Source organism: Homo sapiens, chromosome 11 (assembly GCF_000001405.40).
Source record: "Homo sapiens chromosome 11, GRCh38.p14 Primary Assembly".
NCBI lineage: Eukaryota > Metazoa > Chordata > Mammalia > Primates > Hominidae > Homo > Homo sapiens.
This window is the reverse complement of record NC_000011.10, coordinates 23,455,398-23,481,555: the sequence shown is the minus strand read 5'-3', so window position 1 is coordinate 23,481,555 and position 26,158 is coordinate 23,455,398. Positions and strand designations below refer to the sequence as shown.

At 34.7% G+C, this 26,158-nt stretch overlaps 1 pseudogene; it reads right to left on the bottom strand.

Moving 5' to 3' along the window:
* Positions 1–825: 825 nt before the first annotated feature.
* Positions 826–3,183, bottom strand: THAP12P4 (THAP domain containing 12 pseudogene 4; annotated as a pseudogene).

Below are 26,158 nucleotides of genomic sequence, written 5' to 3'. Positions count from 1 at the left end.
TTGTTCTCCTGTCATACAGTCATTTCAAATTTGTGTTTGGTGGATTCCTGTTTCCCCCACAGACCACTGTAAAATAATAAGCACATATTATAAATAATGTTTCCTTACGTTTCTTTTTGTCCAAATATTATGTTAATATAGTGCACAAGTGTCAACTCAAATGCCATCTCTAAATGTTTATTGCTGCCTGCCTAAAGAGTTGACTTTTTAAAAAATAAAATTCACATTTAATTTAGATTGAAATAACCTATGCAAATTGATTTTCTTCACCAAAAATAATAATAAAATTTTCCATATTATTTCTAGATAAACAACAAAGCACTTGTTTTTGTAAGTTTCCCAGGTTTTGCTTGTAAACAAAGACGAGACAGTAGATATAATCATGGAAAAATAGAGAAAAAAACAGACAAGTCAGTTGTCAGTACCCCAGCCTCTGGTTCTGCCTTAACCATGAAACAGAAGTCTTCAACATATACCTGCTACAAAGCTTAGGAAGATGTAAGCTCCACAAAAAAATGTAAACAGCAACAACCAGATGTTGAACAACAATGGCAGGCTCTTCCATTCTAATTTTAACTGTAATTCATTCCTTTAAGTTCATTTGAGAGAGACAAAATCTACAGTGAAATTCTCTTTTGGCAAGCTCACAAGCTTCTTTCTGGTAACTGTCCAGTGCAGATGTTTAACAACATACTAAAATCTCCTATTAGTCAAAGATCAATTGTGGGCTTCACTGTAACATTTTATAAAATGTACTCCTTTCTCCCACACCTCCTCAGAATATATTTCTTCAAACAATTGTCAACACCCAAGAACTAGAGATCCACTGTAATAATAAGTGTCATGTCTAAAATCACTTCACTAAAACAATTCCAGAGTGCCACTAGAAGAGATCACACAGAACTCAAACATGGCACTTTCAATGTTATTTTCTGGAAGAACAGATAGGTCTTCAAAGCATGAGAGTTTAAATAGGGATCATTTAAATAGGTAGATTATCAATGGCTAATATAGTCAATGGAGGCCTACAGGCAAAGATATTTCGTTATTAAGTGGCCTTCATACACCTTAAGGCTTTTCTTCCAAGTATCAAATGTGAGAAAGCCTATTTTTAAAAGTCCCCTAGGTATTTTCAATGGTTTTTGAATTATCTGTAGGAAGTTCTGACATAGTTGTATGGAGTTTAATATATGTGTCCACCATTACATTCAGATCATGTTTCATATCAAAATTTATGTTATGCAAAGCATGGTTACTCTTAAGTTTGGTTGGTCAAAGTGTTCCTCAAGTATGCTTTCATACCACTCATTCTCAACCTTCGTCACAGGAAGAATACACAGGTCATACAGCAATGCATACACACTAGGAAAAAACTTGATGTCAGGCAGATAGAGGACTTCATAAATGGTGAATGGAAGCTTTATATCTTCCCTTATGTGTTTCCACTTGATTCTCCAACAATGAAGCTCGGCTGAGAGCTTGCCAGGACTAAGTAAGTTACTTCTGTACATGTTGGCATGGTGTTCCTCTGATGTATGAAATTTGAGTTATCTCGTGACTGAGGATCCCAGAGCTAAGCATTTAAGGGCTCTGAGATGCTGTTCTGGGAATATATCGTTAAGTACCTGAATAATGTGCTCCACTGTTGGAACACTTAGGGTTTCTTTACAGTAACTCAGAGGTTAGTTGAGATTCCCAGTTACCTTGCTGAGCTCTGTGGAATTTCCCAGGGAGATTCATCTGCATATCAAGTTTGGCTACCAAATTCATGGCTTCCTCAAACCAAAACTCCTCATAAACTTTAATGTTTTCCTTCACTTCATTGAGTGAATGCAATACAGCAGTCAAACTACTGGCTGCAAAGAAGACATCAGAGGTTTGCCCCTGAAGATTGTTTTCCCAAGGCTCTTGTAAAAGTTAAGACATTTTAAATAACAGCAATAGTAACCATGAAATCAAAATCTGTTACTACACTGCAGAGTACAAATGCTTGGCCATCTATACTGTTATACCATCTAATATTTGTGTCACTACTTATACCATCTAAACATAAAACAAGTGCTTACAGGAGGTCCACTAAAATTTCAGAATCATCATCCCTGACTGTTCACTGAGAATGGCAAATTCCCTTCAGTTTGTTTACCCCTTTCTTCATTGTTCTGAAAAAGAATAGAAATTACATTGTAAAGTTCTACAAGCAGTTGTGGTGATCTATGGTAAAAAGAATAAACTTCCTCAATTGTTCCTAATGCAACAGATACTCAAATAACAGGCACTGATTTAGCCCAACACATATTTAAGGCACAATAAGGTCAGAGAGTGTAGATAGCTTGCGGAGTGTTGCTTCTAGCATTCTCTAAAACTCTACAAGTGACAACTTTCATTTTGGAAGAAAATCCACTGGAAACAATGTAAGCCAGGCTATGACAATACTCCATATTTAGTCCCTGCTTCTCAGTTGTCACAGTGTAAAATCTCACAGCCAAAATTTCTGCATCAGCTTCATAAGCCAGGAAGTCTACAAGTTCCTCTCAGTTTATGAGATTCATCAACCTCACCAACACAGGTTAGATGCTCTCTCCTGCTATGTCCACTACATTGTCAGTGATGATAGAAAAGAAGTGTGAGTCTCTCACTTCTCTGAGAGTTTCTCCCTGAATACAGCCCTCACAGATCTCTAGCATCTGTTTCTGCTGTGTTTTCGAACATAACAATGTGTTAACTGCTGTTGTCTCAAAGTGCTTTCTCAGGACCTCCGCACCAGAATTTATCAGGCACTCTAGCATTGCTTGAAAGTTATCTTGAGTAAAGAGACCTCCTGTGATTTCATTAGCCTCATGTCCATTCAGCGACACATTTTGCTATCCCATAACAATCAAGACTTCAAATAGAGATTTTAGGCATTCTTTGTTTTCCTTGTCCTCAAGGGTCACAGGTAAGATGTCCTCATCTTGCTCTTCATCCCCTTCTTCTGCAGTGGGGTTCTGAGCATTGCTGTTGTTAGTTTATGTTTTTGTTCCTGTTCAGAGTTTCATAAATTTTTCTCTGTTTCACTGTCTTGATTTCATCTTCATTCAATTCTTTTATTCATTTTGTGTGTCTATTATTTGAATTGTTTAAATGATTGGTAAGAACAAATATTGTTGGTATTGCATTGTATTGAAGAACAGTCCTATAAGGACTCTCCCAATTACTTCACAAATATCTGCTTCAATTAATTTTGAGAAATAAAATAACCCAATCATTCTGAATTTTTCTGATGTTTCTGCAAAATTTACATTTCTACCGATCACAGAGGTCTCAAAGTATTTGGCACATGATCAATAAGGTTTATTTAGTTGGTCAGGCATTTTATCTTCTAAGTCTGCTCTCCAACAATTCTTCACTCACTTCTGGGCTCTGGCCCGATACTGCAGGAACTTGAAGAAGGCCAGGTCCAACCACATGCTCCTCCGCTTGCAGTTGGGGGCTGCACAGAAGTTCAGCATCATGCCCTCCCCTCCCAGCCTCCTCAGGGCAGTTTCCCACCCATCAGGACCTGGGAGGACAGCCAGGGTGGCTTCGCAGGGTCAGTGGTCTAGCTGATTTTGAAAAGGATGCTGAAGTAGAGTTTTAGGTTGGAGAGGAAGTGGTAGCATTTAATCTAGGTGTATGCTATTCCTGGTATAGAACAATAAGCAATGAATGGGCAATTTGATATCAGTGTTATAAATAAAGCACCATATACAGATGACATAGAAAAAATGTAAAATTGTTTTTATCACACCTTTAACTATTTGGCTAAAGGTTTTGAAGTCCAAAAGTACCTATTTCAAATTTCTTAAGAAAGAGCAACTACAGAATGTCTATGTAAATTCCACTTAAATGATTTCACCAGATTATGAGAACCATTTCCATCAATGAGCCACAGAAATCCCCACGTTGTTATTGTTAGGATACTGCTTAACCCCAGGTTTTCTTTTCAGAATAATGGCTTTTGTGCCTCTGCTTCTGAAGTATTTCTTTTTTCTTTCTTTTTTTTTTTTTTTTTTTTGAGATCGAGTCTTGCTCTGTCGCCAGGCTGGCATGCAGTGGCACAATCTTGGCCCACTGCAACCTCTACCTCCTGGGTTCAAGAGATTCTCCTGCCTCAGCCTCCCGAGTAGCTGGGATTACAGGCATGTGCCACCATGCCCAGCTAAATTTTGTATTTTTAGTAGAGACGGGGTTTCACCATGTTGGCCAGGATGGTCTCAATCTCTTGACCTTGTGATCTGCCTGCCTCGGCTTCCCAAAGTGCTGGGATTACAGGCATGAGCCACCGCACCTGGCCTGAAGTATTTCTAAGAAGCCATTTTCAGAAGGACTATTTCCACTGAGGATGCCTGATACATAAGCCAAATCACCTATTTTGGGGAAAAGAACTAAACATTGAGTTGTGATACTCTTTCTAAACTGTCTTTTGTGAATTATTGTAACATGACCTTTTATTAGTAGGTTAAGTAGTAAATGGAACAACACATATGAATGTACACTGTTGTATAGTGGACATTATGTTCATCAGCAACATAAAATTGCCATGAGATGAAAGAGGATAACCATCATTAAGACTGATGGCACCTATGAGTAAAATGAGACATGAAAATTCGGTAGTATCATTTCATAATGATCTCTCTCTCTCTGCTTCCAGCAATTTTTTTCTACTCCAAAAATATATCATGTAATTACTTAAATATTGTTTTATTGTTAGAAAAGTAATATCTCAACATGCAGAGACTACTGAACCTGTCAAGGTTCAACCACAGAGAGCAGACGCAATTTCCTATATTGATGAGTTATTAAGCCAAAGAGAAACACTGCTTTATTATCTGGTTGACTTTCAACTGGCTTGTAACTAGAACACATTACCATGTCATAAAGGGTGGGCAAAAATGAAATAATAAATATATACAGTAAATCCATAATATTTTCAAATGTGTCATTTCAGCAGGAAATGTCTAAGAAATAAGCATGACTACTTTAAATGAATAAAAAAGATTACACCAGTTAACCTTGGAATCCCTGTTACTTATTGGAAATAACCATTCTTCTACATTCCTCAAGCCCATGACAGTCCCATATTTTTTGATTCTTACAGTACTGCAAATCCTAACTCATGCTAAAAAGGATGAATAAGAGCTAGGGGTTTGAAGTCATATCTGCTTGGGTTTAGAGCCCAGATTTCAAATTTACTAGTGTATGTTCTTTCCCAATTCTGATCATAAAAGATGCCAAATGGCAATAAAAATAGTGAAAATATGTAAGTTTCTCCAAGGAGTAAATTTTAATAAAATGTACATAAAGGGTCTACAACATTGTTTGGCAAGTGTGAATGCTTGATGAATGTCAACTATTCTTATTAACTGGAAGGTACATTTCATCATACTAAATAAGAACTCAATTTCTACCCTGAGTTACTATACTCTGTGACTCTATGTAGTGATCATGCAACTAGTTTGTTTGCTTAGGGTTAGTAAATTAAAGGTGATTAATATTTTTCATTAAATTATACAGCACAAAAGGAAAGATTCCTTGGTCCACTTTGCCACCTTTCAGGAGTAATAAGTGTAAAACATCTAGGAAAAATAGCTGTTTTGCTTATCATGGATAGATACTATAAAATTCCTCCAAGCCATGTCTTCCAATATTTTATTACACATGTAACAGACTCAAAATCACAACTCATTTTAAGAATCTTGATATTCTAACAAGAATCTCTATTCTTAAGATCTTATTTTTCTTTTCTGCTGTACTTCTTCTCTTTTTCTTTTTTTTTCATCTTTCTTTTACTGCCTTATTTTCGACTTGGAAAACAAACTCTCTGACCAAGATAACCTTAACAGTTCTCTCACCTGACTAAATTATAGACGAGCTCATTCTTGATTCTAGGTCCTGACCTCCCTTTTCTTAGAGCATTTTCTTTATATAACTTGCAATTGTAAATTCTTTCTCTGCTCACTTGAGATGCAAATTTTTGTTTGTTTGTTGTTTGTTGTTGTTGTTTGTTTTGAGACAGAGTCTCAATCTGTCACCAGGCTGGAGTACAGTGGCGTGATCTCGGCCCACTGCAACCTCCGCCTCCCAGGTTCAAGTGATTCTCCTGCTTCAGCCTCCCAAGTAGCTGGAATTACAGGTGCGCAGTGGCAAATCATTTTAAAAGCCTCTTGCCAGTTTTGCAACCCAGGAATCTCTTAAGGACCTGAGGGCCATTTCTTTGACGTGCAATCACTACAAAAGATAATGACCCTATCTTCCTAGGAGGTTAGGAGGTTATCTTCCATGGGCATCAGTTATGAAACACAGATGGTTTAATCACAGAGAGAAATATTTGCACTCAGGAATTGACTCAATATGCTTCACAAATCCCATTGATCACTAATGCCGTCCAGTATTTTTCCACTAGCTTACCATAGTGCTTAACTCTCCATCCCCTTGTAGGAGAAGAGAAAAACCAAAGCATTTTCTCTACTCACACTCAATACACCACCGCAACACAAAACACTTCACTTCTGGTCACCGAAATGTGTGTGAGTTCTTCCTCACACAACAGGCAATTCTCCAGTGGATACCAACTGGCTATCCTATCTTTGAATTTACTTCTGATGCCATCTACCTGGAATTAGACTCAGGTTCCACAGGTTAAGGGCTCAGTCCCAAAAGAGTGCACCCTACTTTAGATGCCAATTACAAGACCCAGGCTGTGAACTGTACTTCTGCCCAACCAACTATAAATTGGGGTTCTCATGACCCACTCTTCAGGTTCTATTCATTTGCTAGGGTGGTTCACAGAACCCACGGAAACAACTTGATTAAATTTATTGTTTCATTATATCAATAAAGGATATTACAAAGAATACAGATGTACAGTCATGTAGAAGGGATGCCTGGGGCAAAGTATGTGGGAAGTGGGATGAAGCGTCCATGCCCTCTCCGAGTGTGCCACCCTCCAGGGATCACCACATGTTCAGCAATCTGGAAGCTCTCTGAAGGCTGTCCTTTTGGGTTTTTATAGAGGCTTCATTACATAGGCATGATGACAACATCAGTTGAACATTGGTGACCAACTCAATGTTCAGCCTCTGTCCTCTGCTAAAGGTCAGGCTGTGGGACTGAAAGTGCCAACCCTCTAATCACATGGTTGATTTTACTCCCGACCTGTTTCCATCCAGGAGCCCACTATGAAGCATGTCTTTAGAACAAAAGATACTCAACTAACCCAGGAAATTTCAAGAGATTCAGGAGTTCTATGTCAATCCCTCCTATCATTCAGGATATTACAAATGTCTCAGGAGCTCTGTGTTGGTAACTATGGCCAAAAGCTCAAATGTTAAAACAAAACATTCCCCCAACACCCTTACCTACAAGGGTTTTAGGAACACTCTCAGAAACTGGGAAGAGAGAACAAATATATATTTCTTATTATTTCACATCACACCCCCCACCCCCAACTCACCCTTTATTTTAGCACAGAGTTCTGGCCTCTCATCTCTATTACAGTGGTTTTGCATAGTCTTTCTTTCCTGTCAAACTTTGGTGAAATATTTGCTTTGGCAACTCACTTGACTGTTGAGAAAAACACATAGCATTACTAATCATATCACTTCACAGTGTATTTGCCAAGTCAAAGAGCTTAAAATATTTGTTTTTTCCTCATATGGGTTTGATTCTATATCACATATTCTCAGACATTTCTCAGGGTTAGCTTATGCTTTAAAATTCAGGTAACTGAGGCAGGACCCAGGGTTCTTAAGAGGAATTGTTCAATGCACAATGAAAAGAAAGGCTGACTTACAAATTGCTAACTATTCAAATTTAACATTTTATTGTAATTATACTTAGCTTGCCTACTGTGGCCTACTTTATTCATTTATTATTTATTTTTCTTTTTAAAAATTTCTTTAGCCAGTTCTTTCTTATTCCGTATTTGTACTGTTTCTAACTCTGTTATTTGCCTCTGTAATATGGGGATTTTACATTGTGAACTCAATCCACTCCTTTGTCAGATAAGTTTGGCTTGATCTTGATTCCTTCATTCAAGTTATCAACAAGGATTTACAAAAAAATCTGCTTCAAGATTGACTACTCCTATGATATATTTTGCCAGATATACTAATTATCATTTTTGTTTCTTTTATGCCAGATACTTTATAGAGATTATCTCATTTAATTTTCATGAGGATGTTAAGAAGTGAATAGTATTATCCCCATTATTCGGAAGAGAAAAATGAGGCCAGAAACATGCTTAAGTATGAGAGCCAGTAGGCTTATTTTCTGCCACAGGCCATGCTTCTAATCAACCTGCGATTGAACACTCCTTTTCTTTACTCCTTTTCTTGATCCCCTTCTCTTTCTTCTCATTTCTCAGTCTGTTTCCTTTTTCTTTTTCTTACATGATGTTGGAGACTAGGGAAACAACAATGAATTGGGCAGAGATCCTCATTTCAAGTTATTCACATGCTTATCCTTTATTTAATTATGGTGCTATGTATGCATTTAACATTCATTAAATATTTTAACCAAAACAACAAATAAATTATGTAAACCTATATTTAACCTAAGGGGAGGATATATTTCCTCATCCCATTTTTCGAGTTACAATAAACACACCTTTGAATCTTTTTTATATAATACTTGCATTTTAGAGCTCTAACAACATCCCTCATTTAGGACTGCTTTATTGTTTCTTAATGTATTTATTATATATTATAAATATTATGACATATTTTATATTTTAAGCAATGAATTGCAGATTGCAGAATTTTTAGAGGGCTTTGATGAGGAGAATATGCATTTAAACAATTTATGCCTGGGGGACAATTTTAAAAATTACTTTTTGGAAATAATTGACAGCAGGAAAATGAGAACTGCAAAGTTTACACCTGATAACAAGTCAACTAAATAAACCAAGAAAAGTATTTCCTTTTCCAATGAATCATAGAGAACTTCTTGAGTGAATCTAAAAAAAAAATGGTATTGGTGAAAGAGAAAAAGAATGTGATAAATTGAGCTAATCAAGCAGTTAATTTAGTTATGTGCACAGAGGGATTTTTTTGTTTTGAAGTCTTCAGTATTAGCATTCTAATGAACTTTTCATTTTGAAGTTCCATGATATACTTGAAATATAAATGAAGTGAATATAATTATGTAAAATAAATTTAATTCTATTTTAAATCAGAAGAAATTAATATCTCTGTTGAGGAAAAATCTCCTAAAACAATAAATGAATAAATAATACATAATCTTAAAAAAGAACTAAAATTTCATCCCTTGTGTTTATATTTCCTTAGTCAGATGAATTTTGCTTAAAAGAGCCTTTTATAATTATAGCAGATTGGCCAGAGTAATTGCTTTTAAGTCATTGTTTATCTGAAACAATTCAGCTGTGTAAATTAGCATCACTTCTGCCTTTTTAGAGCTTTGTAAAAATTAACCAAACTAACTATATTCATTTATAAGTTACGCAATATCTGATTGTACCCTTTCTTAAAATTTTGACTTCGTTAAAGCTTTCATATATCCAAATTTAACAGAAATAAGAAATGTTTCTCTCTGTATTTTGATTGTTCCATGAGAGACTTTTCAAGGGCATATATTCAGAGTAATTTAACAAAACTATGTCTTATAATTTCTTTTTTTTTTTTTTTGAGATGGGGTCTCACTCTCTTGCCCAAGCTATAGTGCAGTGGTATGATCTCAGCTCACTGCAACCTCCACTTCCCGGGTTCAATCGATCTTCCTGCCTCAATCGATCTTCCTGCCTCAGCCTCCTGAATAGCTAGGATTACAGGCGCCCACCACCACACCCAGATAATTTTTGTATTTTTAGTAGAGGTGGGGTTTCACCATGTTAGTCAGGCTGGTCTCAAACTCCTGACCTCAGGTGATCCACCCACCTTGGCCTCCTAAAGTGCCAGGATTATAGGCATGAGTCACCGCGCCTGGCCATGTCTTATAATTTCTATATTGCAGATTAGTTGCACTTACAAAGAGACACTTATTTATCTCTATCTTAAAATAACATACTTAATTATTAAAAATTTTCCTCAAATATAACATAAAAATTAGAGAGCAGGAAGTCTTTTCTCTCAAATGGTACATAACTTCAATAATTACAGATTCTTTGTCAAGCATCATGTTGAACACTTTATACATATTTTCTATTTAATCGTTCCATTATTCTCATTAAGACAATTAATTTTATTACACTTATTTTATGAATGAATAAAAATAAATGTTCACAATGGGGTAGTATCTACTAATGGTGACATAATTAGCTTATCAGTAATTACATTTAACTGCAAATAACAAATCTGGAAACAGTGGCTAAGGTGAAATGAGTATTTTATTTTTCTCACACAGAATTTGGGAAGTAGGTAAACTAGGATACTAATTCCTTGATGCCATCAGAATTCTGAAATTTTATATTTTATATGTTCAGTAACCTTTAGCATGTGCTCTTTGGTTCATAATGGAAAGACACATGTTCCAATTCTAGCATCTAGTGTTCTTTGCAGTGAAGAAGGAAAACAACAAATGTAAAAATATTCTAACTAGTCTTTTCTCCCATTTTAAGAAGAGATTCCCAGGAGCCTCATCCAAAAATTCTCACCTCTCATTATTATAAGCATATGTCATATGCTCACCCTTATATGGAAAGGAGGCTGGGATGAGAAATGCAATTTACACAGTAAAATTGAGAACTTTGCTAACAACAAAGTAAGAATGCCGTAAGGAAGATATTAAAGGAACATCAGAGAGTAAGGAAAAAAGGGGAGTCAGGAAGAAAGGAAGGAGAAAAGGTTTTTGTTGTTGTTAATTTTGTGTGTGTGTTTGTGTGTGTGTGTGTGTGTGTGTGTGTGTGTGTGTTCAAACCAGAAATGTTAGCTCTAAATTCTGAAGGGACTGAGCTAGGTCTTGAAGCCAAGGTTTTCTAATTCTAAACCTAAGACTACTAGTTAGTAAATTAAAGAATGTCACATGGATTTCCTGAGATTTAGACACATTAGAGCTTAAATATAATATAAATAACAGTAAACACTGAATGTACAATTGTGTAAGTCTTACCAAAAAAACCATAGTGGATTATAAAGGATACATGGAGTTCCTTGTATATTTTTTTCTTAAAATTGTAATGATAACTATAAAGCATTATATGATAACTGTTAGAAATCATGTGGCAGTGAGTTTGCTATTTCTCAAAATACAACAGATAAATACAGAAAGAAGAAAAAACGTTGCATTTTTTGTTTGTTTGTTTGTTTGACAGAGTCTCACTCTGTCACCCAGGCTGGAGTGCAATGGTGCGATCTTGGCTCACTGCAACCTCTGCCCCCTGGGTTCAAGCGATTCTCCTGCCTCAGCCTCCCGAGTAGCTGGGATTACAGGCACCCGTCACCACATCTGGCTAATTTTTGTATTTTTCGTAGAGATGGGGTTTCACCATCTTGGCCAGGCTGGGCTTGACCTCTTGACCTTGTGACCCACCTGCCTCAGCCTCCCAAAGTGCTGAGATTACAGGCGTGAGCCACCAAGCCCGGCCAAATCACTGTTTTTTTTTTTTTTTTTTAGGAAAATGGCAATTTAGAAAATCCACGGTGGCATTATTATCAGATAAAAAAAGTATTATCAGATGAATGAATATTAATGAATATGATGCGTTCACAACCTATATATTTTTTTAAAATGTCAAATTAGTATCTTATTAATTTGTTAAATTAATAAAGGTTTTAATAGATTTGTAAATTCAAAATTAAGTTTATTTTGTTTTCTATTTAGTATGCAAGTATTTAGAAAGCTTATATTCTTGTCCATGGAAGAGTGTTGCATCCTAATAGACACAGATTCTAAGATCTGTTACATGTTCTTACTTGCTCTAACCACATATAAAATAATCAGATATTGCCTATAAAGTAGATGGCAAGTGACTTAATATAAGAGATATACCTCATTCCTCATAGCTATTTGCAGCATTTAATATAGTTGCTGGCATATAATATGAACTTAAGAAATAGATGAATAAATGCATTAATAATTTATAAATGAATGCTTTAGTAATGTATACATTTGAAAATAAATTGGTAACAAATTATTTAAATAGCCAGATTGTATTATATTTAACAGAAGCAAAGGATAGCCTAGTTGATATAATATTATTTCTATTTAGTACAATTTAAGCTTTACTGAGTTTACTACTACTTAATTATGTTTAAATATATGTATATTTATGTACTTATTTTGCTCATTCCTTCCCCTCTCCCCTTTTCTTTCATTTATGTGAGGCCCATCCACTTACTGAGAATAAATTTACTTTAGGTTTTATTATCTTCTGATTAACATTGTTTAAACCCCTCCCATTTGCTTCAAAATTTATAGATCAGGCAATTAAAATAAAAACATCTATCTCTCTGTTGTCTACAATCTTGGAATGATTCATTTTATTCTTCATTCCCTGCTCTATCAAATAAATAAACCGAGTGTTTATGATAAATGTTCTTTTTTCAAATGTGATAATGAAGTCCCTTCATGTGAGCACTGGCTATAATCTTAGCTAAAGCACTTTCTGCTAATTTAGGTAACAAAGGCTCCATATTAATAAAATTGCAATTCAGCTTCTCAAATCTCACAGTTGGGAAAGTGTAATCCTTTTGCAAAATTCAAACAGAAACAAAAAACAACAACAGTAATGTGGTAGGGTAAGTGTGATAAATAGCTGATGAATTATTCAACTCCTGGCATTGCTGGCAGATCTATAGCTTTTAATGAGTTCATCTAATTTGATTTTCATATCAAATTGTATTTTATCCTATGCTTTTATTGAAGAGTGATTGTCAGCAAAATGCTGCATTTTGAAAAATGTATACAACTGTAAAACTACTTATATAATGAAGATGTAGAACAGTTCTAATATTTTCCTTATCACTTAGGAATGAGTCCTCTGATAAAATAGTCAAATTGGGTAACTTCTCAATGCCAAGGGTGGAGAAAAGAATGCATAAGAGTAGGCTGGGTAGAATTATACTGGGATGGGGTCGGAAGGTAAGAACATCTGTGAAGGCTAACTATATGTGTGCATTCTTCAGATTTGACCTAGTGGAGAAAGGGAAAATAATAATTGGCATGAAGACTAACTATTTTCGTGAAACCTTCTACGGCTAACTCCCAGCCATTCTCCTTCCTTGATAACTGGGCTTCCTTTGTTTCTGACATAATAAGGTCAAACTATGAATTGAACTCATTAAGAGGAAACTATGCCTAGACTATCCATACCAGGACAGTCCCATTACTAACATATTTTAAAATTGAAACAAATAATCAAATAAAAAGTGATCTATTAGCCAATTGTCAAGAACAATCTTAATCCGTTTCTTCATTCTTCACTCTGCTCACAGACTTCATTCCTACAACGTTCAGAGTGCCTATTTTAAGAGAGGCAGAATATCAAGGTATTTACAAGAGAGGACACTTAAACAAGATTTCTCGGCACAAATCTTTGCTCTGATTTCTACCATGTTACATTAGCAAAGTTATTTAACCTATTAATGGCATTGTTTTCTCATCTCTCAAATAGGAATGGTGATAATAGGTACCTCTTATGGGAAATGATGTAAAACATACTGCATTTAAAATAGTACTTTATGCATAGAATTTCACATCAGTTCTTTGGTATTCTTGTTAAAACGTCTTTGTTAAAGGATGACTACTGATCACCCTTAAACATTATTCCTATTGCTGATGTATCATATCATGTTGTCTAATCTGTTAAGTAAACTAGGATCCATTTTTATCTCAATTAGACAAGTCTAGAAGGATCTGAACAATCATAAGAATAGAAAGTGAGTTTTTGGGTGGCAGGATGTTAGGCAATATGTTTTGCTCTACTCCATAACAGTCAGCTAACAATTGATTCAGAGAGATGCATGAAGCTAAAATTAAATACATACACATATATGTAAATGTGTGTGTGTGTGTGTGTGTGTGTGTGTGTGTGTGTGTATATATATATAAAATAACCTCTTCAGTTTCTAAGCATCATTAATATCAACTATTTGAATGGACAGCAGCAGGGTGTGGAGAGGTTATATGAGAAAGCAGCATTGCAAGAGACAATCACATTTTTGTCTTAAAATCTCATTTTACCCTTTAATATTCCAAGTAATCAAGAAAGTAGCTATTCAGCACCACATATTAAGCTTTTCTGAATCCTAAATTTTAGAAAAAAGAATTCTGCTGTATTTTTCAACTTCAGCCTTATTTAGAAAGAGCCTAACAGAGGCATTCTGACTCAATTACCTATGAATAAGGTACAAAGGAAAGCTGTCATTCATAAATTATTTTAGTCTTAAAAATGGAGGCCCTTAAGATACCAATAACAAAATCCACAAAAAAGTCAGTGTTTAATTTTATTAAAATAAAAGTTTGTTTTGTATGATACATTTTTAAGAGAATCAGAAGGCAAGTCACAAACAAGGATAAAATGTTTGCAAAACACATATCTAATAAATGACTTGTATCCAAAATTAAAACTAACTATTAAAACTCACCAGTAAGAAACCAGATATTTCAATTAAACTGCTTATAGACTCTTCACAAAGATGTATACATGAAAAATAAGTACATGAAAAGATACTCAAGATCATGTCTTAACGACTTGCGAATTAAAACTGAAAAACCAATGTATACCAATTGGAATGGCTAAGCTGAAAAACTAACAATACCAACTGTTGGTTAAGAATCCATAGCCACAGGAACTTGGCTGAGATTTGTTTTATAATCCTGTATATGGCCCATATTCATATACACTTTGTGGACATCGGAAAAATATGTGCATTTTGCAGATGTTGGGTGGTATGGCATGTACGTAAAAAAAAAAAAATCCTGCTGGTTGATTGCGTTGTTCAGATTTTCCATGTTATTGCTGAATTTCTGTCTAGTAGTTCTACCAGTTGCTGATAGGACAGTGCTGAATTCAATATGTATAATTATTTGTTTATTAATCCTTTCAGGCTTATCGATTTTTCTTTTCTGTATTTTAAAGTTGTTTGTTGCTACCCATTTGGAATTGTATCTTCCTGGTAGATTGATCTTTTTATCATTACATGCATCCTGTTTTGTAAGTAATTTTCTTTGCTCTGAAATCTACTTTATTATTTATTGATTGATTGGATTATTTATTTATTTACTTATTATTTTTGAGAGAGAGTCTTGCTCTGTCGCCCAGGCTAGAGTACAGTGGCACGATCTTGGTTCACTGCAAACTCTGCCTCCAGGTTAAAACCAAGATTCTTGTGCTTCAGCCCCCTGAGTAGCTGAGATTACAGTCTTGAGCCACCACACCTGGCTAATTTTTGTATTTTTTAGTAGAGATGGGTTTTCACCATGCTGGCCGGGCTGGTCTCAATCTCCTGGCCTCAAGTGATCTGCCCACCTCGACCCCGCACAGTGCTGGGATTACAGGTGTAAGCCATCATGCCTTGCCTACTGTATTTGCTATTCATATAGTTACTGCTGCTTTTACCCTCTTTTTGCATTTAACTTACCCATATTATTGAATTTGAAGTGAATTTGAGGCAAAGTTGTTTTTTTTTAATTTAATAGGCTTCATTTTTTAGAGCAAATTTGGATTCACAGCAAAATTCATTGGAAGGTTTCCATTATTCCCTAGCCTTACTATAGCCTTCCCATTACCTATCCATTACCAGAGAGAAACATTTATTAAAATTTGTGAAACTACACTGACACATGATTTTCACCAAAAAATCCATAAATTATATCAGAGTTCAGTCTTGGTGCCATTTGGACAAATTTGCAATGACATATATCCATTATAATCTCATGTGGAATAGTTTCACTCTTGTAAAATTCTTAAAATTTTCTATGCTGTGCCTGTTCATCATTCCTCCTAACCCCCTGAAACCACTGATCATCTTATTGTCTCCATAGTTTTGTCACTTTCAGAATGTCACATAGTTATAATAGTATATGGCCTTTTAAAATTGGCTCATTTCACTTAACAATATGCATGTAAGACCCTTCTACGTCTTTTCATGGCTTGATAGCTAATTTCCTTTTAGCAATGAATAAATATTCCGTTGTCTGGAAGTACCACTACTTATTTATCCACTCACCTACTGAAGAGCATCTTGATTGTTTTGGTTGTTTCCAACCTTTGACAATTATAAATGAAGCTTACATAAATATATGTGTGCAGATTTTAATTTTAACTCATTTGTATAAATAGCTAGGAATATGATTGCTGGATCTTTTGGTAAGACCATGTTTAGCTATGTAAGAAACTGCCAAACTATTTTCCAAAGTAGCTGTACAATGTGCATTTAAATCAGAACCAAATGAGAGTTTTTGTTGCTCCACATCCCTGCTAACATTTAGTGTTGTCAGTGTCCTGAATTTTAGCCATTCTAATAGGTGTGTAATGGTACCCATTGTTGCTTTAATTTCTGCTACCTGGATAATATATGATATTGAGCATTTTTTCATATGCTTGAGATGTGTATGTCTTTTTTGGTGAAGTGCCTGTTAAAAGTTTTAGTAATACTTTAATTATTTTTTTCTTATTGTTGAGTTTTACAAGTCCTTCATATACATTGGATAACTAATTTATCAGATTTTTAAATTTTTTTTCTAGTTTTTATTTTAATATGAGGTCTCATTCTGTCACCCAGGCTGGAGTACAATAGCACCATCATGGCTCACTGCAGCCTCGACCTCCCAGGCTCAAGAGATCTTTCCATCTCAGCCTCCAGAGTACCTGGGACTAAAGGCAAGCACCATCATGCCTGGCTAATGTTTTAAAAATTTTTTTGTAGAGAAAGAGTTTTGCTATTTTGCTTAGGCTGGTCTCGAACTCCTGGATTCAACCAATCCTGCCTCTGTCTCCCAAACTGCTAGACTACAAGGATGAGTTACTGTGCCCCATATATGCATCAAAACATCACTATATACAGCATAAATGTGTACAATTATTATGTGTCCATTTAAATATTTTATGAAAAATTTAAAAGTTTTAAATTTTGTATTATGTGTCGATTTATGCCACATAAAGTTATGGGGTAGTGTTGTTTTGATACATATAATTACAGCAATCAGATCAGGGTAATTTGCATATCTGTAATCTCAAATATTTATAATTTCTTTGTGTTAGGAACATTAAATAGTCTCCTTGTAATTATCAGAAACTGTATTTTAATAATTGAATTGTGTGTAAGTAATTGAACACTAGAACTAGTAATAGAACATTAGAACTTATTCTTTTATCTAGCTGTAATTTTTATTTTTTCTACCAGGCTGTGGCTCATCTTCTTTCTCTTGACATTGTTTTTCACAGAGCAAAAATTTTTAATTTTTAGTTTTAATGTAGTCCTGTTTATCAATTCTTTTTTTCATGGATCATATCTTTGGTGTTATGTCTAAAAAGCCATTGCCTAACTCGCAGTCAACTAGATGTTCTTTTGTATTATTCTCTAGAAGGGGTGTCTGGTTTTTGGTCTTCATTCACTCTGCCAATCTCCGCCTTTCAGTTGATCTACTTACAGCATTTGTAATTAAGGTAAATATTGATATGTTAGAGACTATGTCTGCCATTTTCTTCTCTGTTTTCTGTCTTTTCGTCTGTTTCTTCTCTATTTGTCTTCTGTTTTCTCGCCTTCTTGTGGGTTATGTGAACAATTTTAGGATTCCTTCTTGGTTTATTTACAGGGTTTGAGGGTGTACGACTTTGTTTATTTTCCTTAGTGACTGTTCTGGGCACTATCGTATACATATTTGACTTTTCAGAATCTGCTATCAGCAACACTTTATTACTTTGAGTGAAGGTTGAAACCTACTTTCATTAGGACACTTTATGGTCCCTGGTTTTAATCATCAGTGTTTTAAGTGTCAGATGGTGTTATAATTTTACAACTTCAGCCTTGTTTAGAAAGAGCCTAACAGAGGCATTCTGACTCAATTACCTATGAGCAAGGTACCAAGGAAAGCCATCATTCAGAAATTATTTTAGTGTTAAAAATGGAGGTCCTTAAAATACCAATAACACAACTTCTCCATATTATTCAGGCAACTCAGGAAGAGAAGAATATTCTATGGCATTTATCCATATTTCTTCTCTTGTTGTTCTTCCTTCCTAATGTTTCAAGACTTCTTCTTTTATTGTTTATTTTATATTTGAAGAAATGTCTTTAGCCTGCCAGTACAAATTTCCTTTTGTCTCTCTTTTCGTGAAAATTCTTTCCCCATCTTCATTCTTAAAGGATATTTTCTCAAGATATAGAATTTATGATTCAGATTTCCTCTCTGTTAACACTTGAAAAATATATTTGTGTATAGATATATATGTATATTTACATATAAAAAAATGAATTCACATGTAAATATGAATATAAATATATTTATATTTATAAAATATTTATAAATGTGTGTATACATATAATACACACACAAACACACGCACAAAAAATAGAATATTATTCAGCCATAGAAAAGAATGAAAACCTGCCATTTGCAACAACGTGAATAAGCCTGGAGTACGTTGTGTTAAGTGAAAAACGTCAGGCACAGAGAGACAAATAATATGTCTTACTCACATATGGAAACTAAAAATGTGAATTTAATAGAAGTGGGGAGTGGAATAGTGGTTACAAGAAGCTGGGAAGGGTAGCAGAAAGGGAGGATGAAGAGAGGTTGGTAAATGGGTACAAACATACAGTTAGATAGAATAAGTTCCAGTGTTCAATAGCAAAGTTAGGTGACTCTAGTTAATAACTTTTGCATATTTCAAATCAGGTAGAAGAGAAGATTTGGCATGTTCCCAGTATGATGAAATGATACATATTTGTAGTAATAGATAACTCAATTAACCTGACTGGACCATTACACATTGTATGCATGTATAAAAATGTCACACGTACCCCCCATAAATATAACAATTATTATTTATCAATAAAAAATGGATAAAGGATTGTAACAGAAACTTAGCAACAACAAAAGACATACAAATGGCCTATGAGTAAAAAGAGAAAGTGCTGAGCATGATTACTTTTAAGAAAGTGCAAATTTAAGCAACTATGAGATACTATCATATACACAAGAATGACTAAACTTAAAACAAAATGAAGCAAAACAGAAGACTGAAGACATCAAATGTTGGTGAAAATATGGAATAAGGGGTATTCATTAATATATTCCTGGTTTGAATGCTTCCTGTAAAACATAAACAGCTCTATGAGCAAATATTTTCATTTATAGATATTCTACTCAATAACAATTTAAATACATGTCAAAAAAAATCATGTACCTGTATGTTCACAGCAGCTGTATTTATAACAAACAAAAACTTCAAACATACTAAATGTCTACCAAAACGCTAATGGATAAACAAATTGATCATACTTATATAATGGGATATTACTCAGGAATAATAAGGGAAAAATCTACTGATTCATGTAATCACATGGATAGATCACAAGATATACTAAGTGGAAGAAACTAAAACAAACAAGTACATATTGTATTATTTCACTTATTTGGAATTATAGACAGCCAACACTAATTTATTGGAGGTTTACCATGAGTTTTCTGGTAAGAGGAGACAAAGAGCCTCCAAAAACACACTACATGTGGCAAGACCAGGAGTGCTATATATGTGTATATATATATGTGTGTGCGTGTGTGTGTGTGTATGTATACATATATATTCACACCATATATATGCACAAGTAAATATGTATAGATGTATACACATGTATATGAATACATGTATATATGTACATATATATACATTACACACATACATATATGTACATGCATGTGTACATGTAATACATATATGCATATACATATATATTTACACATGTATATGCATATGTACATACATATACACTCATATATACATATGTGTATAGATGCATATATACAATATATACATATATTTATATATGCACATATATAATATTCATATATACACATACACATATACATATATGTGTATATATATGTATATGTAATATACATATATACGGTTATACATATATACATATGTGTATATATGTGTGTGTGTATAGATATATACACCACAGATATTGTGTTATTGGGTGGTATCTTTGTTGTACATTGAGTGACTCACCTGCCGTGGATGTTTAGGTATCCTAGAATGTGGAGCATTAAAGTAGTTACACTAGAACACCCCATATGTTAATTAAATTAGCAACTTTACCCCAAGTAGTGGTAGACTTTTTATAAAATTGAAGTTATAAACGTTATGATGGATACTTGTGGTCTCATTTAAATACCCCTTTGAGACTAACAAAATAACTGTTTTTTTCTTTTTTAATTTGAAAACAGTTTGCAAAGCCATAATGGCTTATGAAAGGGAAAAAAATGACTTGGAAGGAAGGAATCTGTCTTTCCATTTTGTCTACAGTAACTTTAGATCACACACTGAAGCTATGAAGAATATATTTCAGCCCATTTCCCACCAGCTAACTCCATGTTCAGATGCTGTCATGTTGTTTATAGGCCTGACTCACTTGCAGAAATCTTCCAGACAAGAAGGGTATATTTTAAATGATAATCAGGGTGATAAAAATAAGAACTTATTATTTATCTCAGAGCTATTATTTTGTTCAAATAAGCATTAGAACATGAATTATCACATTAAGTTTTAATCTCCCTCAAGGCAGAACTCTGAGAATACTGAACAACAGAGATATAACTTTCTCCAAGTCCAAAGCCAAAAGAAAGAGGTAGAGCCTGCCCTCCTACACACGTTTGTCTTGCTTTCCACTTACTGGGCTTCTCCTAGAGCTACAGTAACAAACAGTTCCATCTTTTAGGGTTTTATTCTTACTGGTGGGAAAAATGCTCTGTTCTGCTTCCTCAATACCTGAGACTGACTTGGACAGAGTATTAGCTTAACCAGTAGCCGACCCATTCCATTCTACTCTCCATTCCTGAGTAGCTAAATACCAGCTCCTGAAATTTAGGAGCCCACAGTGACACAGCTATTGTACATCCTATCTTTAGTCTCCTTCTGGGATTGTCTTATAGGTTTTTGCTTATTCCTCTTCCCTATTCATCACTACAGATGTCCCTGAATTTTTCTGTGCCTGCCTTCAAGGACCCAGTATCCTTAACAGTCCCCCATATCTCTTGTTGCCACTAGTGACCAGTGAGAGATAGTATTTTTCCCTTCATTTGTAAAATTGCATTGCTACTATCTACACCCCTCCCTCACAAAGCTGCTATGAAAATGATTGAGATGATATAGGTGAAAATGCTTTGAAATTTTAACACCTTTAACTTCCTCATCTCTCAAGTAAAGAGGACTTGATAATCTCTAAGGTTCTCATTGCTCAGTAATTCTATTATCTATAATTTATGAGCTTGCTATTCAAATTTCTGATTTGGACTCCAAATGTCTTACTTTATGCCGAGGCAGACTTCAGTAAGCATTACATAAACAAATAAATGCTTAGAATAAACTCAAAGGAATTAAGAAAACTCTTTAATTTCCCAAGTTGTTGCTTAGTTTAAAGGTCTTCTGATTTTCTTCAAATTGGTCTAAGTAGATAACTGTAGCTTACTTTAAAATACATTGAACCCCTGAAAAATATTAAATAATATAAACTTTTTCTCTTTTTTGCTCAGTCTGAGGTGGACCTATTTTTTAAAAAATTCAGTTTGGATTAAAATTGGATATTATCAAAAGGTCTTTTCAGTTCGTCTGATTCCAAGCTGAAAATTTTAACTCAAAGACTAAATTTTGGGAATTAAATGATAGCCATAATATTCATGGCTCAACTAGTTAGTGTTAAATAAATTAAATATTGTCTCCTCTCCTAACATTTTGGAATTTAGGCCATGCTTTTAATCTGTATGATAAGGTTTGGCTCCATGTCCCTACCCAAATCTCATCATGTAGCTCCCATAATTCCCACATGCTGTGGGAGTGACCTGGTAGGAGATGATTGAATCATAGGGGTGGGTCTTTCCTGTGCTATTCTCTTGATAGTGAATGGGTCTCACGAGAGCTGATGGTTTTAAAAACAAGAGTTTCTCTGCACAAACTCTCTCCTCTCTTCGCCTGCCGCCTCCCACATCAGATGATACTTGCTCCTCATTGCCTTCTGCCATGATTGTGAGGCTTCCCAGCCATGTGGAACTGTAAGTCCAATTAAACCTCTTTCTTTTGTAAATTGCCTAATCACAGGTATGTCTTTATCAGCAGCGTGAAAATGGACTAAGACACTGTAGGATATTAAATTTTTATTTTTTTGCAAATGAAATTGTTCTGTGGCCTCCTTTCTCCAAGTATAAAAACTTACCTTCCAATTCAATATATATAAATCTCTTATGAAATATACAAATTTTTATAAATAATTTTTTCAGTTGAATCATCTTATCACTTTCAAATAAATCAGTTAAGGTGTGTAAAGCTAATAGGATATATGATCCCTGGATTTCAAAGGTCTTTATACACTGCCTCACATTCTTAACTAAGGGAAAAGTAATGACCTTCTTACAAATGTAGTTATTACAAATATATGTATATATAAATATATATCTCTTCACCAAATGTCAGTTTTGAGTTACTTATTTTCAACTAAGTAAAAGGTAATTATTATTAACATTTTTAATGGAACTTTGATTTCTAATGGCTGACTCTCTTATTTCTTTTACCTTGTGATAGATACAATTTAGTGACTGCTGATTGTTTTCAATTTAGAAAGATTCTCATTGGTTTTGGTTCTCATAATAAACTGCCATTGAAAAGATATTCAATTGAATATTTAAATCTTATAGGTATAATTTACTTCAGAATCTATATTTCATTAATATAAGATTGCAAAGACACAGGGAATTAGTTATAGAACACACATTAACAATACAGATATGTTCTGAAATCAATCACACGATATATATTTTCCCAAGAATATGTTAGATTCTCCATGATTTTGTTTCAACATAAATTGGAGATTTAAGAATTGTGACAGTCCTTCTTTGACCTGTGAATAGGTCTGAAATACATAAATAATAATAGTTAATATTTATTGAATACATGTATACTAAAAACTAAGATTATCTTTAATTATTGCATCAATTATTCGAAACAGGTGGACTTTTATCTATTCTCAGATGGAGAAAGTAAGTTGGATAAAATTGTTTGATCAATATTTTACACTTTGGAGTAGAGGCACACTTCAGATCCAGCCAGATCAGTCCAAATTCAAAACTCATGCTCATTTCATTTCTGGCCACTGCTGGTTAAGGATTATCAATTGATAATTTTGGACGCTGGATTCAAATAGAGGTTGAGTATTCCTTATCTGAAAATTTGAAATTCAAAATGGTCTAAAATTTAAAACATTTTCAGTACTGACATGGCACTCAGAGAAAATGCTCATTAAAGTATTTCAGATGTGGGCTTTTCTAATTAGGCATGCTGAACCAGTAAGTAAAATGCAAATATTACAAAAACTCCAAAAAATCCAAAAGTTGAAACACTTCTAGTCCCAAGAATTTTGGATAAGGGCTATTCAACCTGTATCTCTATTTTTCTAAAGATACAAAGTCCAGATGTCTAAGCAACAGTTACTGTTGTTATGCAGTCCCTCCGACAGATAAAGACAAATAAATATTGCATGTAATAAAAAATAAAATATCTTTATTTTTTTCATATTATTTCATTCCACTTATTTTTTTCCTGTAACTTTTTAATTTTAATTTAATTTATTTTATTATACCTTAAGTTCTGGAATACATGTGCAGAACATGCAGCTTTGTTACACAGGTATGCACGTGCCATGGTGGTTTGCTGCACCCATCAACCTGTCATCTACATTAGGTGTATCTCCTAATGCTATCCCTCCCCTAGCCAACTCCCAAGAGGCCAAGGTGTGTGATGTTCCTGTTCCTGTGTCCATGTGTTCTCACTGTTCAACCCCCACGTATGAGTGAGAACATGTGGTGTTTGGTTTTCTGATCCTGTGTCAGTTTGCTGAGAATGATGGTTTCCAACTTCATCCACGTCCCTGCAAAGGACACGAACGCATCCTTTTTTATGGCTGCATAGGATTCCATGGTGTATATGTGCCACATTTTCTTTATCCAGACTATCATTGATGGGCATTTGGGTTGGTTCCAAGTTTTTGCTATTGTGAATAGTGTTGTAATAAACATATGTGTGCATGTGTCTTAATAATAGAATGATTTATAATCCTTTGGGTATATACTCAGTAATGAGACAGCAATCCCATTACTGGGTAAAAACCTACCTTTAAAATGCAGTGGGAATAGTTTTAGGAGTAAGCTTGGTTAAAATACTGGCTGTGCCTTTTAATTTGCTTCAAGATCATGTGCAAGATTTGGAAGCTCAACGTCATAGTTTTTTCCATTACACAGACCTGGCAAATTAGCCTACAAAAATTGAGATTATGGTATATAATTAAAAACTATACCCCTCTCCTTCTGTAACTGCCTCATACAATCCTCTTCTTATTTAAATATATTGGTAACCTAATAGGTCCAAAACAGAACTGCAGCTTCAGTTCTGTTTTGTAATACCGAGGAAGTCACAAACTACCAGCATTTCTGTTTTGTCATCTGTAAAACCAGGATAGTAATAGTTGACAACTGTTTACCATGCAGTAACGACAAATGCAGTAACATCCACAAAGCAGGCTCTACTCAAGAGAAGATGGAAGCCACACGCAGTTAAAAAAAAATAGCACTTACAAAATTTACTTCCAATATGTTCACTAAAGAGAATTGGATATCTGTTGTCCAGGACACATTACCCTTCAATGAAAAACACCTGCCAATATTCATTAAAGTATAAGTATGCAAATTATGACTTTTGTTTGTTTGTTTTGTTTTTGTTTGTTTTTGAGACGGAGTCTCGCTCTATCACCCAGGCTGGAGTGCACTGGCATGATCTCGGCTCACTGCAAACTCCGCCTCCCAGGTTCAAGCCATTCTCCTGCCTCAGCCTCCCGAGTAGCTGGGACTACAAGCACCTGCCACCATGCCCAGCTTTTTTTTATTTTTAGTAGAGACAGGGTTTCACCTTGTTAACCAGGATGGTCTCGATCTCCCCACCTTCTGATCCACTTGCCTCGGCCTCCCGAAGTGCTGGGATTACAGGCGTGAGCCACCGCGCCCCGCCCGACTGTATTTTAATAAACCTATTGCATTCTTTGTAGATTAACAATGAGCCATTGGAAGAGTTAATTGTGTAGTAATAGGGTGGCCAGGAAGTGAAAGAAGCAAAACAAACAATAACAAAAACAACAACAATAAAAATACCAAGGCCCATTCTATGCAGTTACCTCTCAGCTGAAAGCAACTTTTTATTGTGAGTTTTATTGACTTAACCAAAAGTACACATTAATACCTTTAAAATTGGGTGACTATGTCAGGATCTTTAGATGTCACTCTCTCTGACAACATATGTTTCTAATGTACCAACCCATAAGTTCCTTTATGTTACATTTAATCATATCTACTGTACATAAAACTTGGTAATTAGAAATTATGCATCATTTTATACTTTATTTGAAATTTAGATTTTTCAACAGACTCCCAAAGCAATATTGTCAGGAGTGCAATGCTTTTAAATGAAATTGTTTATTTAAAATAGTGCATACAAAACAGTATAGGGATCAAGGACATTGGTTTTAAGATTTTTCTTTAGTTCCCAAAATGCATCCACTCTCTTTGCTCAGTGTGGCTATCTACATTATAAATGAGCATAAATATATCAAGAAGCTTTTCTCCTTGCCTTACAGGTTCTCTGGATGCAGATCTGTTCCAGGAAACACATTCGTAGCATTGCCTGTGTAATCCAACGGGAGCAACGGGAGTATGCTGGGAGAAGACCTTTGTGTGATTGTCACTTCCTAGATTGAAAGAAGGCATAATAGAAATGACCTTCTAACTAAGCTGCTCCTGAAAGGATTACCTAGTGTGAGGAGAGGTAGTAAAACAGTTTTTTTTTTTTTTTAAGTTGGAGCCACATAATAACAGATGTAGGAAAAAGAAACTAAAATTAGACAGAAAAAAAGAAGCTAGTCTTTCAGGAGAATGCTTTGTTCCTCTTAGAATAGGAGCTTTTACAAACACACATCAGTCA